At 36.9% G+C, this 16,177-nt stretch overlaps 1 long non-coding RNA gene across 2 annotated transcripts in view; it reads right to left on the reverse strand.

Moving 5' to 3' along the window:
• The window catches only part of LOC105374235 (uncharacterized), a 221,596-nt gene that overhangs the window by 126,324 nt on the left and 79,095 nt on the right, over positions 1-16,177 (reverse strand). The window contains exons 4-5 of one of the 2 annotated variants that reach the window (NR_188690.1): positions 9,523-9,672; positions 2,018-2,945 (exon numbers count right to left, since the gene is read on the reverse strand). The exons of the other annotated variant lie outside the window; for it this stretch is intronic. This is a non-coding gene — a long non-coding RNA (uncharacterized LOC105374235). Of the gene's footprint in view, positions 1-2,017; positions 2,946-9,522; positions 9,673-16,177 lie in introns of those variants that run through there. 2 annotated transcript variants of the gene reach the window in all.

Raw genomic sequence — 16,177 nt, forward strand, 5'->3', positions numbered from 1 at the left:
GGAGAGAGCAGCTTAAATGAATAATAAAAATGAACTCCAAACTGCCTGGGGGTGAGAAAGGGAAGCTAGCACAAGGGCAAATTTAGATACTTTTTCACTCCAACAAAAATTTTGCTAAGAAGAAACAAAAAGTAGTTTGAATAGATACCAGATTTAGGGATAATTTTTTTAGATGCTGGAAAGATAAACAAGTTTGTATATTGAGGGAAACAAAAACAATAGAGAAAAGGATTGAAGAGGGAAAAAATAAAAAGGATGGAACTAGTTCTTATGAGAGACTCACTGGCATAGGTGGAAAATGGAATTATTTCTGCTCTACTCTTTTTATGACAACTATTTTATTATGAAAATGCTTAAACATATAGTGAAGTTGAAAAAATGTTTCAGTGAACACCTATATATGCACCACTATATTCTACCATGAAGATTTAACTCTATTTGATCTATCATATGTCTATTTACTACTCAACCCTTCCATTAATCCACTTATTTTTGATGCATTCTGATGTAAATTGCTTTCCACTAAAAACTTTGTTATGAATTTCATTAATAGAAGTTTAATATTTATTTGGCTGTGTAGCAATATCTGTGGGGTGTGTAGTAATATCTCATTGTGCTAATAGTGTTGGGTTTTGTTTTACATTTTAGTATTAGAAGGTGATTTTCCATGTCACCGTATTACAGCCCTTTTGACAGATTACAATTATTAGTTTACGTTTGTCACCTCACCTAGAATGAACTCCTTACAGACAAGGCTGTGTTGTATCATTCAAAAGAATTTTTTAGGTCAAATTTATATACAATGAAATGCAAATTTCACATGTACATTAACTGAGTTTCAACAAATGTGCATGTTTACATAACCCAAATTCCTATCAAGATTAGAACCTTCCCACCACTCCAGGTAATTTCTTCATATCTATTCCCAGCCAATCCCACCTCCACACACCCAGAGTCACCCAGCATTCTGATGTTTTTCCATGTAGATCATATTTGCCTGTTCTAGAAGTTTATATAAATGGATTAGTGCAGTATGGATTCATTTGTACAAGGCTTTCTTCACTCGTCAAAATGTTTTCAGGGGACATTCATATTGCTGGGTGTAGCAATAGCACATTGCTCTTTATTGCTGAGTAGTAATTCATTGTTTAGCCATTCTCGAATGAGAGACTTCTAGTGTACCCAAAGCGGCTTTGAACACTCTTGTACAAGTCTTTTTAGGAATATGTTTTTTCACGTATCTTGAGTAAATACTTTGAAGCAGAATTACCGGGAGTGATAGTAGTTGTATATGAAAAGAAACAGACATACCTTTTTCCAAAATACATGTACCATTTTACCTTTCCATCAAAAATGTATGAGAGGTCTTCTTCCTCCAAATCCTTCTGACATGTATTACTTTTGGCCTTGCCATGCTGCTGGGGGTGTAGTAATATTCTCACTGTGCCAATAATGTTGGGGTTTTATTTCACATTTTTGTATTAGATGGTAATCTTCCATAGCACTCATATTATAGCTCTTCTAACAGAAGATTGTAATTGTTCTTGTTTGTCACCTCACCTAGAATGAACTCCTTACAGACAAGGCCGTGTTGTATTATTCTTTATTTTTTTGCTAGTATTTAGCCCGGTGACTGTGTTCAATAAATGCTTGTTTAATTTAATTGAATCAAACATGTTCCTGCTGGCAGTTCTAGCAGTGGAGAAGTCAGCATGGAAGCATCTCCCTCCCCCTTCTCGTCTGTTTTTAGAGGATCAGTTTGCCAGTGGCAGTATGAATACAGAAAAGAATGACAGTCCCACAGTAGGAAAAACAGCATGGTATGTTCCAACTGAAAGCAGATATAAGCTGGGAGTTGACTCTTCCTAATATTTAGATACATATTTCAGAGTAAAACGACTCGGAGGTAAAAATTTCAGGTGGGTTTTTATCAATTATATTTCAGCCATCTGGATTTTTGCTAATAGATACCACAGACAACTACAATGTGGATAATAATCAGAAAGTAAAGCACAACTTCCAGGGAATAACAAAGCGTATTTTATTTCCTTGAAAACAGCACAAAGCTGAAGGCTAAAGGCTGTTTTATTTGTATGCAGTAATCCACAAGAAATGTGATAAAATCTTTGAAGCGTATTATGTTCTTGTGACATACCAAAAGAAAAAAAAAAAGAAAATCAAAGCAGCAACACAGCTTTGGCTTAGAAACATCTGAAAATAGTCATATACAATGCCTCTGAGTTTATTCATACAAGATTGAAACATTATTTGTCAATTTACTTCCAAGAGCACATGGATGAGAAGCAAACTTTACAAAAAAGTATAAGGATGAGAAATGTGGAATGATTTGTGAAATTATGACAAATCAAGAAATTCTTTTGTTGTAACAAGGAAATAGATGATATGTTAGAAACATTTTCAAAGAGAAAGGTTATGATTTGCATTATCCCTAAGTACTTCTGGTCCACAGTATTTTTCAAACATTTATGAAATATTAATATATAACCAGGTACCAGGTACCAAGATCTGATATATGCCATTCAGAATATGATATCTGAGAATGAAGCGATTCTACCTGTTAGAGTTCTTTTCACGTTTCTTCTCATTCCTCTGCTAAGATTTGAAAGAGAGTACTCTAATCAGGAGAAGGGAAAAGTGGATTATGAAAATACATTGAATGCCTTCTATGGCAGGCTCTACTAGTTGTCCACAAAATGTTTTTCTTTCTGGAATGGCTCTAGGCCATTGGTGAGACACGGGCTATATTTTGTAACCCTCCTTGCATTGAAGAATAACCATATATTGATTCTCGGGAGAAAAATGTGAACAAAAGTGATGCAGACTACCTTCAGGGCAAAATTTTAATGACGAAAACAAGGCTTCTCTGCTGTATGTCTTTCCCTAGGTTTGAAGGAAGAGGATTCCACGGTGCTTGGACGGTAAATCTACAAGGTAAAAGAAGTAAAGTCCTCTACTCATACACAGACAATATGCAGCCTTCTTACCAGGAATACCTGCACTCGACTGTTGAGTGATGACTTTTATTTTGTTAAACTACTGATGCTTTACTAACTATAAAACAAAGGGCCAATGGTGACCTTTGTTACTTCAATATTCTAACCAAGTTTGCACAGCTTAGAACAACAACAAAACAACAAAACTAGGATTTTAACCCAGGTCTGCCCGGCTTCAAAATCCAGACTACAAATTTACTCCATTCATCATCGTAAGTCATAATATAAACTTTCCAGAAGTATAGGAAACCTTAGAGATAATTAAGTGCAAAGTTGCTGATTTTATAAAAGAAAACTGTGTTTACGTGATTTAGTGGAGTTCACACAGGTCTCCAAGTGAAAAAAGAAAAGTTCCCTTGTCCACCTCGCAGGGCGTGCAATGGGGGTGTGACTCACTTCTTCAGTGCCCTGCTACTCAAACGTCTAGGGGGGCATACAGACCGGCAGGCTGTAGGGCTCCGACTCCACAGCAGTGTCTAGGGGTGAATGTTTACAGCTCCTGAAGCCCCAGTGGACATGTGTTACAGGGTGCTCTGTAGTTTTGCTCTTTTAGTTTGCCGTCTATAGGCGGCTTGTATTAACCGGCTCAATTAGACCCTCTACCTTGTTGCAAGGACAGAGGGCTTTCTGTATCCCGGGTTCTTGCCTTGGTGTACTGGAAGAGCCGGATCACATCTGGGCTTGAAGAAGGAGTGCAAGGTCTTATTGAGTAGAAGTAGCTCTCAGCAGATGGGGGAGCCAGAAGGGAAGTGGTTTACCCCTGGAGTTGGGTCGATAGGTGGCCCAGGCTGTCCTCCCACTGTCCCAGCCACACTCCACGTCCTTCTGCTAGTCAATGGCCTGCCGGCGTTCCGGTGCCTGTCAGTGTGCTCTTCTGCCGGTGTGAACCCCTCAACGTCCTCCTGATGTCCAGCCACTTGGTCTTCTTCCGTTGATGTGTTCCTCTGCCATCCAACAGTTTCTGCCTGCCTGCTAGGGTCTCGGGGGTTCTTATAGGCCCAGCACTGGGGCATGGCAGGCCAGGGTGGTCTTGGAAAATGCCTACATTTGGGCGCCATGGCAGAAGTGCTTGTCCTAACCTAGGTCCCTAGGAGTAGAGTCCTAGCCAGGGACCACACCCTCCTCTACCTAGCACTTCCCTTCCCCACTTCCATATCATTTAAAGGGACCACGCTCTTCCCTTCCCAGCACTCCCTATCACAGGCAACAAATTTGGGAAAAGCAGATCCAATATGCTTTTACTACATCATAATATTGAAATGAGAAATATTTGTTTAAAAATTAATAAATATAATTTTTTAATATTTTTTATAATTTATATAATTATAATAATTTTTATATTTACATTTAAAATATATAAATTTTTATAATTTATATAATTATAATACTTTTTATATAATTGTAAAAATTATAATAATTTTTATAATTATAAAAAGGCTCCATTTATAATATATATGAATTAATGCAAGGAAGTAATTTTCATTATATTTAGAATTTATCCCTGACTTTATTACAAAAATATGTTTACTCAGAAAGGACAGAAATAGCTTTGCATGTCACTTTCTCTTCTTGTTTATCATGTGTCTTCTGTTTTATGTATTTGTAAGCGTTTTACCCACTGGAAGAAGGCTTATAATTACTTTAAAGCTACTGAGTTTTCATCATGTCATGCATAAAATACCGTAGAGTGAAACAACTATCCTTCAACATAGAATCATGAATTGTAGCCATTCAGAAAACTTTTAGAGCTCTTATGTTATAAACTTCTTATTTTACAGCTAAGGAAACTGAGGCTCAGAGAGTTGAAATAATTTTCCTAAATATACAAAACGAATTATTCATAAAGCTGAAATGGACTGCAGATATCAGCCTTTTTTCCTACCTTACACCCTCAAATATGAAATAAAATACTAATTTTAGAATTTTTTGGTAACAAATATACCCAAATCAAAATCAAAAAATCATAGAAATTAAGAAAAATAATAGGGTAATACATCTCAATTTGGATATTCATCATAGTAAGAAAAAGTCATGGTAATCAAAGAGATTATGAGACAATACTTGTAAAATTGACATTAATATCTACTAATAAATGTGTAGTGTAACACTGGTTCCATTACTAAGATTCCACATAACAACTATCTTTATTATGTCCATGATTCTAGTGTAGTTATAGTCTTTTCAGGTCTACTAAAAGAAGGCTTTGTTCTAGTTATAAGAAAGTATATATAAACCTTGTTATCTGGTTTTTTTCTAACACAATTCCCATGAAGTATCATCAAAAAACACTATGTCAGAGAGAACAAAACCTCCCACAAGTCTCTTGCTCATTGTGCAATTATCAAAAACAGTGGTAAAATCTATGCACATTTGTTTCCAATTTCAGTTTAAGGGACCAGGCTATGAAATCATAAATCATGAGTCTCTGTAACCATCTTGCTGGATGAACACCAGCATGACAAACCCTGGAGTGCTCATTAGCCCAAAGTTTTGGCTGCTCAGGACTCACATCAGTTACCCAACAGTGGGTGTTTGATGGGAAAAGTCTTTGCAGGGGTTTCTGAAAACTCCACTACTGAACATTTGCCAACTATAGAATAAAAGCATGTGTTAGTCTTCCAGAAAGAAAATGAGCATTTATTTTCATACTATTATTGAACGCCTGACAGATGCAATTATGAAAGTTCTCTGAATAGGGATAGGAGACTGCTATAGGACAGAGACTTAAAGGAGAGTGAACTATAAATTATCACAATTTGGCTTATTTTTCCTTTTTTTTTTTTTTTTTCTTTTTTGAGGAGTCTCTCACTGTCTCCCAGACTGGAGTGCAATGGCACCATCTCAGCTCACTGCAACCTCCGCTTCCCAGGTTCAAGTGATTCTCCTGCCTCAGCCTCCGAGTAGCTGGCATTACAGGTCCCTGCCATCACATCCAGCTAATTTTTTGTATTTTTAGTAGAGATGGTATTTCACTATGTTGGCCAGGCTGGTCTCAAACTCCTGACCTCATGATCCACCTGCCTCGGCCTCCCAAAATGCTGGGATTATAAGCGTGACCCACTGCACCCGGCCTGGCTTATCTTTCTTATTAGATCATTGCATTCGGTGGACTTAAGTGCAAATGTTGAAAGGCACTGAAGTTTGGTGTGTTTTGCCTAAGAACACAGAGAAAGTAAATACAAAAATAAATAATAATGAATATAATTAAGACTATGGAGAATCCAGCTGAACTGGAATAAAAAGAACCCTTAATTAAACTAAGCTCTAATTTTCCAAGGCCAAAATTTAATAATTTGATGGGGGTCATTTCCAAACTACCAGGATCAAATGGTTACTGGCGATCTAAGCTGCAAGAGGTAAAGGACCATTATCTAACCTTACTTTTCTTTACACTGTATTTATGGAAGCCAGCATTATTTTTTAGTCACAACTGAAACTAGAAACTTTTACCTTGGGCCTCAGAGAGCATCTAACTCCACCACCTTCCCAAAGGAACAAAGATTTTGGATAGAAGTGTTGCACCTGCAAGGCCGGGCACTGTGGCTCATGCCTGTAATCCCTCCCACTTTGGGAGGCCGAGGCGGGCAGATGACCTGAGGTCAGGAGTTCGAGACCAGCCTGGCCAACCTGGTGAAACCCTGTCTCTACTAAAACTACAAAAAAATTAGCCAGGCGTGGTGGCATGTGCCAGTAATCCCAGCTATTTGGGAGGCTGAGGCAGGAGAATCGCGTGAATCTGGGAGGTGGAGGTTTCAGTGAGTCGAGATCATGCCACTTTTGCACTCCAGCTTGGGTGACAAGAGTGAGACTCCAACTAAAAAAAAAAAAAAAAAAAAAAAAGGAAAGTGTTGCACCTGCTAAATGTTCAACAGTTACTGGTTTTGAGAGACAATTGGGAAAATTTGCCTCATCCTATACTCTCATTTTTCATTGCCCAAATTTAGTTCCTTTCCTAAGTGGGTCCTTCTGCTACACTACTACTAAATTCCTCTGCTATGGAAGGAACACTGAATATCTCACTGATACAGCTCTTTATCCTACATAGCTGTAGAGTCTGATGGCCCCAATTTCTCTACATTCAGAGACATCTTTCTAATATTCAGATTACAGTTGCTTTGCTTTGCCTTACATATGGGAGCTGGTTGTTTGAGACAGAGGTATGTTATATGGAGGCTGTATCTGAAGCTTCAAGATCATTTTAGTATTTAGAAACTCGAATGTACTGCCAGTTACTGTAAAAGGAGCAGATTTGAGAGTTTCCAAAACTTTAGAAACAATGTCTTCTCTATAAAATTAGTGATGAAAAGTAGTCTACCCAGATGTTTGGCTTCCAATGGCCATTTCAACACTTTGGATTAAGTCATTGTTGGCTGCCTACAATAGCCACAGAACAGGCCTGACTAGCAACCTGGATTCTGAAGCTGAGTAGGACTGGCAAAGGGGTAGATCCTGCAAGTTCTCAGTAAGCTTGTTGCCTCTGTTAATTAGACATCTAGTCTCTATAAATCAAGACTTTAAGAATAATCTCTGGTATCCTCAGTTGTGCTACACATAACACCCACTGGAGGAAAAAAATGAGCAAAATGATAGAAAATATATTCACTATATCAATGTGATCATGAAATAATGTAATGTGAATTGGGCACTTTACAAGTATGATCGTCCTTATGGGATGTGATTCTATGGATGAGAGAATAGAAAGTGACTGACATTCGCTTGTTAAATGCTTTAGTGAATAGACAGGATGCTTACTTTCACTTGAGCATCACGAATTGTTTTGATGCAACATGATTCTGGAACACAGATGTCAGGCAAATTATGCCTTTTAGGTCTGGCCCCTGGCCTTTCTAAGTTCCACGGAAATGTGGGATGATTTTCTATTCCAAATTAGCTAGGGCAAAGCGGAGAGGATTCTGAAGGAGGCATCTTTGCAAGAAGAGTGTCTTTCACGATTTAATTTCCATAGCAATTTAAGGAAATGGTGTGGGGGCGGGGACAGGCAGCGAGATGGTAGAATAATTGCTCGGATCTGACAGGGTGTGAGAAAGCTGAGCAGTTTCATGTGCATAATATTAACCTCCACACATTTCCAAAATGGCCTCTTTATTCAGCAAGAATATTCTCAACATCTATGAATAGCGATTTTGAAACTGAGTGGCATTATGACAGGTCAGAAAATGCCACAGGGCATAACAATATATATATTTTCAAACTCAATCTGAAGTTTCTTGTAACATCAAGTTAAGTGGTTTTAAAATATATACTGACATCTCTCAAAGATTATAAACTTGTAGTTACTTCTGCCTTCTGTTTTATTAGAAATTCACAGTGACAACAGTCAAAATAAAATCTGACTATGGCTATACACTAAGATGATTCTTTTACATGGAATTTAAACATGTAAAAAGTGGTAAAAATTTGGTTGTTAGACAGAATTCAGTCTTTTATAAAATAGCCTGTGTTTATGAAGATGGCTTTATGTATTACACGGAAGATACAAGGTGATAGTACTTCAAATAATAACTATGAGGTCAGGTGAAGAAGTGACTAGAGCATTACCTTTGAAACCAGATTCATGGGGATGTTAGTCCCAGTTCTGCCACTCACTGACAATGAGAATTGGGTGAATCAGTTAACCTCCTGGATCTCCATTTCCTTGTTTGCAACAACAACAATAATACCACTTTATAGGATTATCAAGAACACCAGTTTCAGCATAGGTGAGGTTTATCTCACAAGACCATATTATAGAAGGCACTCAATAAATGCTTCTTCTTATTTATTTTCATCCACAAAGAACCACATACTTTTTTTCATTCTGCCTGCCTCATAAAATTAGATAATAAGATTACAATTTATTAAATGAATAACGTGATTCTTATTTTCTTGATCATTAAAAAAATAAGTTAACTTCAGGTGAAATAATGTTGACCAAATTACAATTCTTAGTTCACTTGGTAACATAGTTGCTGACTCACTGACTCCTTCTGTGCTATAAACACAACCTGAGTCCTTCTGAGAATAATAGCTTGAAACTTAAATTTAAAATTAGACAGGGCAGCCTGGGCAACATAGCAAGATTTCATCTTTACACAAAAATGAAATATTAGCTGGGTGTGGTGACACACATTTGTGGCCACATTTACTCAGGAGGCTAAGCTGTGAGGATCACTTGAGCCAGGGAGGTCGAGGCCGCAGTTGGTTGTGATTGGGCCACTGCACTCCAGCCTGGGTGACAGAGTGAGACCCTGTCTCAAAAGAAAAGTAAAATTAAACAGGAAAAATGTTTTAAAATGCATATTGATTGGATGAATCAAAATATTAAAAAAGTAGATCCTAGAAAATAGTTTTTGGCATTTCTATCTTTAAAAAAGGGGATTTTAGGTAAAATGACTACTTTTATTTCAGAGACAAAAAAAAAATCAAGCTCAATTTGGATCACTCCACTCCTTAGGCTAAATAGCTATCGGCCTCTCCACAGCATGTGACAAAATGCCCAAATTCTTACCTGCACATTCAATAAATTGTCCCATTGTTTCTACTGTCCATAACTTTGTTCCATTGTTTCTTCTACTACATTTTCCACACATCATTTATATATACCAATGTGTCATTCAAAATGAGCTTCTCATTTCACACATGTCATAATCGAAGACCTCTGTGGATGCAATCACTGTGTTTAGAGTATTTTAGAATCTCCTTTACCATTCTCATGCCATCTACACATATTAATCACATAAATTCCTAAAATGTCAGTGCAAATAACATGTTCTCCTCAAATCCATTCCAAATTTACATTCCTTCTCTGAAATCTTAGAGAAATTCTTCCTCTCTCTCTCTCAATGGATTATGATGGGAGATTTTATCTCTTTTTGTTGTATTACATTTGCTTATTTGTGTCTTTCTACTACATTATAAAATCTTAATAGCAGAAACCATGTAATTCATCTCTATCTGAATAGGCAGGAGTGTAAAGTTGAAAGGTGCAGATCTTAGAGAAAGACCTTCCCAGCTTGGACACACATTTCATTGACTACTGTGTGGCATTGAACAAATTACATCTGCTCTCTTAGCCTTACCTTCTTTGCATAAAAATTCATACAGTTAAAAAAAAACGAGTGAATGTACACTTTCCTAATTTAGAAGCAGTGAAGGTAAGGGAAAAAAACCCAATTGTTCTGCAAGATTTGAAATTGTTCAATGGTTAAAAACAAACAAACAACAAACAAAAAACTATCAAAGAGCTATTTCTTATTTCCAGATTGTTTACCAAAGCTGCTTTTCAGAAAACCGAAGGGAAAAGTTGAAAATGGCATGGAAAAGGGCAAAGAGCTTTGGAGTGACAGACAAGAAATCTTAGCAAATGTGGCCCTGATTCTACTACTTGACGGCTGTGTAATCTCAGGCAAAACCTTCACCAATCGAAACTTCACCTTCCACCTCCCCAATATGAAGTGAGGGTATGAGAGGTATTAAGTTCTTACAGATTTTTCCCCCTGTGGTAGTAACAGTTGTCCAGTTCAAACTAGAGGCAAATAATAAGAACCAAGGAGCAAGTAGAAATGCCCAACTCCCACTTCGAGGTCAGAAGACCGCAGTGTAAGCCATTCCAGAAGCTCAGATGTCATTTCCACAACAAAGCCTTCCTTAAAGCTACTATCTAGCCCAAGGCAGAGTACTCCTTCTGCTATGAACCAATTTTTGTTTGTACTTTTTCGCTATCACTAATCACCTTGTATTTTCTTATCTACCTAGTATGTCTGTTTCCTCTCACAATCTATGGATTTCTTGAGGATATGGATCATATGTTTTATTATGTTCATTACCCCATGCAGCTTGTAGCTCAATGAATGTTTCATTATGAATGGGTGAATCAATGAATGAATGAATAAGTGAATAAATAAAAACTTAGAAGAAACAAAAGTTATTAAAGACCCCCAAAATGGAATTTTATATATATGTCAACTAAGGTATATTAAAAGTAGTTGCAATATGTATATATAATTTTGGCAATTTTTACCTGGTTGCTTCACGCCTCAATATGTATCTTTCTATTCTATTTGAATGGTATAATTTGCTAAGTTTGAACTACTTTAGTTGTGCGTTTTCTTGTTTTGTTAGGCAGCTGTAAGATAAAGGAAGAAATCGGCACCAGCTTCTGCTGTATCATTGACTTGCTCTTTCCAAGTCATGAATATCAACCATAGGCTAATTTTGCTATCTTGCTTTCTGACAATTTTATTTTTAGGCTTTTATAACAATGAACACTGATCTTTCCGTTTAAGAAAATGTTTCGTACATCACACCATTTAAAAAACCTAGTTAATGACTTCTCATCAGTATAAATTACAAACTATTTTCCAACAACAACGGGAAGGAACTGTCTCAGTATATTTACATAGGAAGGTGACAGCTGCTTAAGTGTAAGTGACTTACTATCAAATACCAAAATAAATTCACTTAAAAAAAATGTGGGCCATGCGCAGTAGCTCATGCCTGTAATCCCAGCATTTTGGGAGGCCAAGGCAGGCAGATCACCTGAGGTCAGGAGTTCAAGACCAGCCTTGTCAACAAGGTGAAACCGCATCTCTACTAAAAATATAAAAATTAGCTGGGCGTGGTGGCACATGCCTGTAGTTCCAGCTACTCAGGAGGCAGAGGCAGGAGAATCACTTGAAGCTGGGAGGTGGAGGTTGCAGTGAGCCAAGATCACACCACTGCACTCCAGCCTGGGCGACAGAGCGATACTCCATCTCAACAACAACAAAAAGTATGTATGGCTCGCTAAATTCTGGTAACAAGATAATGCCTGACAAAAATCAATACATTAGTAGATGATGTTCATTAAAAGTTTTCTCTCCATGACATCACTCACTTTAATGAACTGATGTCTACTATTATCAGCTAACATTTCTTCAAAGTAGTTACAAAAGAAATTACCCTTGGAAACCAAAGATTAAAGATAAACAGAACTTTATTTACCTAGTAATTTTGACGTGAAAACAGTTCTTACAGAGGGCTTAACAGCTGCTGTCAAAAATAAACTTTCCAAAAGAATTCTAATCTTCTTTTTTTTTTTTGAAATGGAGTCTCGCTCTGTCACCCAGGCTGGAGTGCGGTGGCGCAGTTTTGGCTCAGTGTAACCTCCACCTCCTGGGTTCAAGCAATTCTCCTCCCTCAGCCTCCTGAGTAGCTGGGATTACAGGTGCGTGCCACCACGCCCGGCTAATTGTTTATTCATGCACTACCATATGGCCATATACCTACAGCACACAGCCCTTCTTCTCACATTCCTATCAAATCCTGCTATAAGGTTTTATTTTATTTTATTTTATTTTATTTTTTTGAAATGAGGTTTCCCTCTATCGGCTAGAGTGCAGTGATGTGAGTAGCTGGGGCTATAGGTATGTGCCATAACACCAGGCTAATTAAAAAAAAATATGTATATACACACATACATACACACACACACACACACACACACATTCACACACACACACACACACACACACACAGTGTAGACATGAGACCCAGGCTGGTCTTAAACTCCTGTACTCAAGCGATCCTCCCACCTTGGTCTCCAAAAGTGTTGGGAGTACAGGTGTAAGCCACCGTGCCCAGCTCTAAGATTCTTGATTTGTACTGAAACCATTCTGTAGGGGGCATCCTCCCAGGGTATTTGCATTCTCAAGAGGAAGAAAAGATACTTGGATATATCAGTTTAGTTTTAAATGCTAACAAAAATGATAAGCAAAAGCATCCAGGATTGTCCATGGATGAGGAACATTTCCAGGGTTCCTGAAGTCATATGCACTACCTGGCCTCTTGTGCCTTGGCATTCAGTTGAATTAGCACCTCAGCCATCACTGTGTCATACTCCATAGGAACAATATTATAATTAAAGACATAATCTTTTAGTGATAGATTATTATGATAATAATAAGCTACATTGCTCATGTGTTTGGTTTATTGGTAGATGCCTTTGTCTAACCAGCAAGTGGATACATGAGAACAGGACATGTGGTATATGTAAAGATGATTCCTGACCCAGAGGACACACAAATAACAAGAGCTTCTGCTGTGGGATGAACACAGTGCAGACTCCATACCTGGCATTTTTTTCTCAAAACAACACAAAACCCCAAGGGTTTAATTAGTTTACCTAAGAAACCACAGCTAGTTTTTAAAGGCATTTAAAGAGACCTCTACCTCTAATACCTATGGGAACCAACGCTCCTTGATGTCTTTCTCAAACTAAATCTCCTATGCTTGATACATACTAAGCTATAGTCATCCTGGTGACTTAAAAAGCATGATTAGTATAACCTGGATATATTTAGTAAGTTACATAATATTATGCAACTCTATTTGTGCCTGAAAAAACAATGAAAATGTTTCCTCTGCTGACATCAAATACTTCACTTGTTCCATTTCACTTTGGTAGTGCTTTCAAAGCCTCTTGAAATTTGGGTCACTCGCTTGAAAAATTATTTGATTATGGGATATACAGTTAATTGGTTTTTGCATTTGAATTTATTGCATAAACGTTCAAATATTTTTTAAAAAGGATTGTATGTAGTAAAAAACTGTTGCCATGGGAGCTATCTCAATCTTTAATATGAACAATAGTATTGTATTTCTAAGGAGGTTTTCCTTCCTTCAAAACCTTTGGATCTGCAAGCCTGTGACGAATTCTGCTTCTTAGAATGGCTCTCAGCCAGGTAAACCTGTATCACGTGTTCTGTGGCACAAGCCTCTTTATAGATTCATTGATTGCAATCATTAGTAGTCTGCTGAAAACTGGAATGAAATAGCTATGAAATAACAGATGCTTGTTTATCTTTCCTCAAGCAGACAACATCGCAGCTACAACTCTCTTTGAAATAACTATGGCATCATGCTCTAATCACAGTTTATGCAAACACCATACAGTTGTAGAGTGCTCCTCAAGACATTTTTATACAAATTAATTTATTCAATTTTTGAGAATAACACATGGGTTTTTAAACATAGAAAGAATTATAATATTCATTTTGCAGATGAAGAAACTGTGGTCTCTGGATGCAGAACAACTTGCTTATGACCACAAAACTAGTAAATGGCAAAATTTTGCTTTCGTATAATAGGCTGTGGACATAGGCATAGGACGGTCACAGTTTTAAGTATTCACAGGCCCTCAACAAGGAACATGATTTGTACAAATTTATACAATTTTTGGTCACAACTATGAAAAATACTGTGTCTACTAAGACTGATGCTCAGATGTAAGTTGGTTACTAGTGAGTGGACCTAGCTACTGCCCAGAAGCTGCATATCAACTTAATTTTATTTTTATTACTTACCACTATTTTCATAAATCACATGCATATTGTGAGTTATTCATTTGTTCATCCAAAAGAAATACCTAATAATCAATTCTGTGAGGAGTGCTAAAATGGTGCTGACTTGATCCATGAATTCAAGAAGCCTGCAGCTATGGAACAGCTATTAAGCAAGAAATTAGTAACAAGCTATGACGATAATTCTAAGATTAGATGATTTTTATAAAACTTTGATATCTAAACTAAGCATTGGCCAGAAATTTCTCCATGGAAAAGGTGAGATATGAAGAATAAATAGGAATTCCACAGTTTAAAGAGAGGACAAAATAAAGAATATTTATTTTATTTTTTGTTTTACTTTACTGCCTTTTGTGCAAGAAAATATATTTAATAATAATAATGTTTACAAATTTAGGGATTTGCCACAGTCTCAGGGTGTACCATGGTGACTGTCAAGGGTGTATTCTATCCTGAGTTTTCCTTTACCTACTTAACTGTGTTGGTTAGAACATGATGCACTTAGAAAGTCATGAATTTGATTGCATTCCTAAATGATGATGTTTTTCCTTGTCCCAAGCATGCAATCTGTGGTCATAACTCTGTCATAAGAAAGAGTGCCTAAGAGAATGTGGATGGAGTAGTGAAATTTAATTACTAGTGTTCGAAAAAAAAATTGAAGTACAGATGCTACTGACATCATACACTTTTCTGTTTACCTTAAAGACATCAGCTTATTATACAGTTTATACACATACTATAAAAACAGTCAGAGTCTTATATTTCTTTCTGTAGTGGTTGGAACAAAGAATTCATGTTAATTTGTATTGCTTCTTATAAACATTCTAATTTTTTTCAAAGTGTCACTAAGAATTTTGCAAGATTTGCACTATATGTGCTTGAATATTCAGTAGTTATAGTACTATATTTTACATAACATCTGTTGGAAATATCATTATGTAGCATTGTGTGGTTCTAATTGATAGCATATTTTAAAAAGTCAAATCTAAATTTAAAATTTCTTTTTTGCATAATGGACAACCCCAGCTCCACACCAAGATTATGTTCAGGGAAAGTAGAGTACAATTAACACAAAATACAAATAATGTGTATAAAATGAAATATATTTTAAAATATACCATGAAAGAGTGATATTATTCAGGTTATTTCATTTATGAGGTCTTATAATGGAACTTTAGAATATTAACCAATTTATAGAAAACACGGAATGTCAAAATTGATGTAACTTTATTTTTTCTTGAGACCAAGTTTTGCTCTCATTGCCCAGGCTGTAGTGCAATGGTGTCATCTTGGCTCACTACAACCTCTGCCTCCCGGCTTCAAGCGATTCACCTGCCTCAGCCTCCCAAGTAGCTGGGATTACAGGCATGCGCCACCAGGCCCAGCCAATTTGTATTTTTAGTAGAGACGGGCTTTCTCCATGTTGGTCAGGCTGGTCTTGAACTCCCGACCTCAGGTGATCTGCCCGCCTTGGCCTCCCAAAGTGCTGCGATTACAGGCGTGAGCCACCACGCCCGGCCCTGAGGTAACATTTTAAGGACAACTCTTTTATAAATGAGAAAATTCATTTAGTCAAGTGTAGTCATAATGCTAGTTAGTAGTAATGCTGGAAAAATTCAAATATCTTCACTCAAAGTCTAGTTCTCCATGGGCTTCACCATGCTACCAACTTTCTATTTCATAGAAAGTTCAAAATATTTTCAAACGTTTCACTTTCAAATGATTCTTTAACCATTTCGAATGCATATCTGTGTATAGTACGTACATAAAAACAGAATTGAACCTATAACTCAAGAAAAATCTAATCATGTCGTTCGTTGCTTT

Source organism: Homo sapiens, chromosome 3 (assembly GCF_000001405.40).
Source record: "Homo sapiens chromosome 3, GRCh38.p14 Primary Assembly".
NCBI classification, from domain to species: domain Eukaryota; kingdom Metazoa; phylum Chordata; class Mammalia; order Primates; family Hominidae; genus Homo; species Homo sapiens.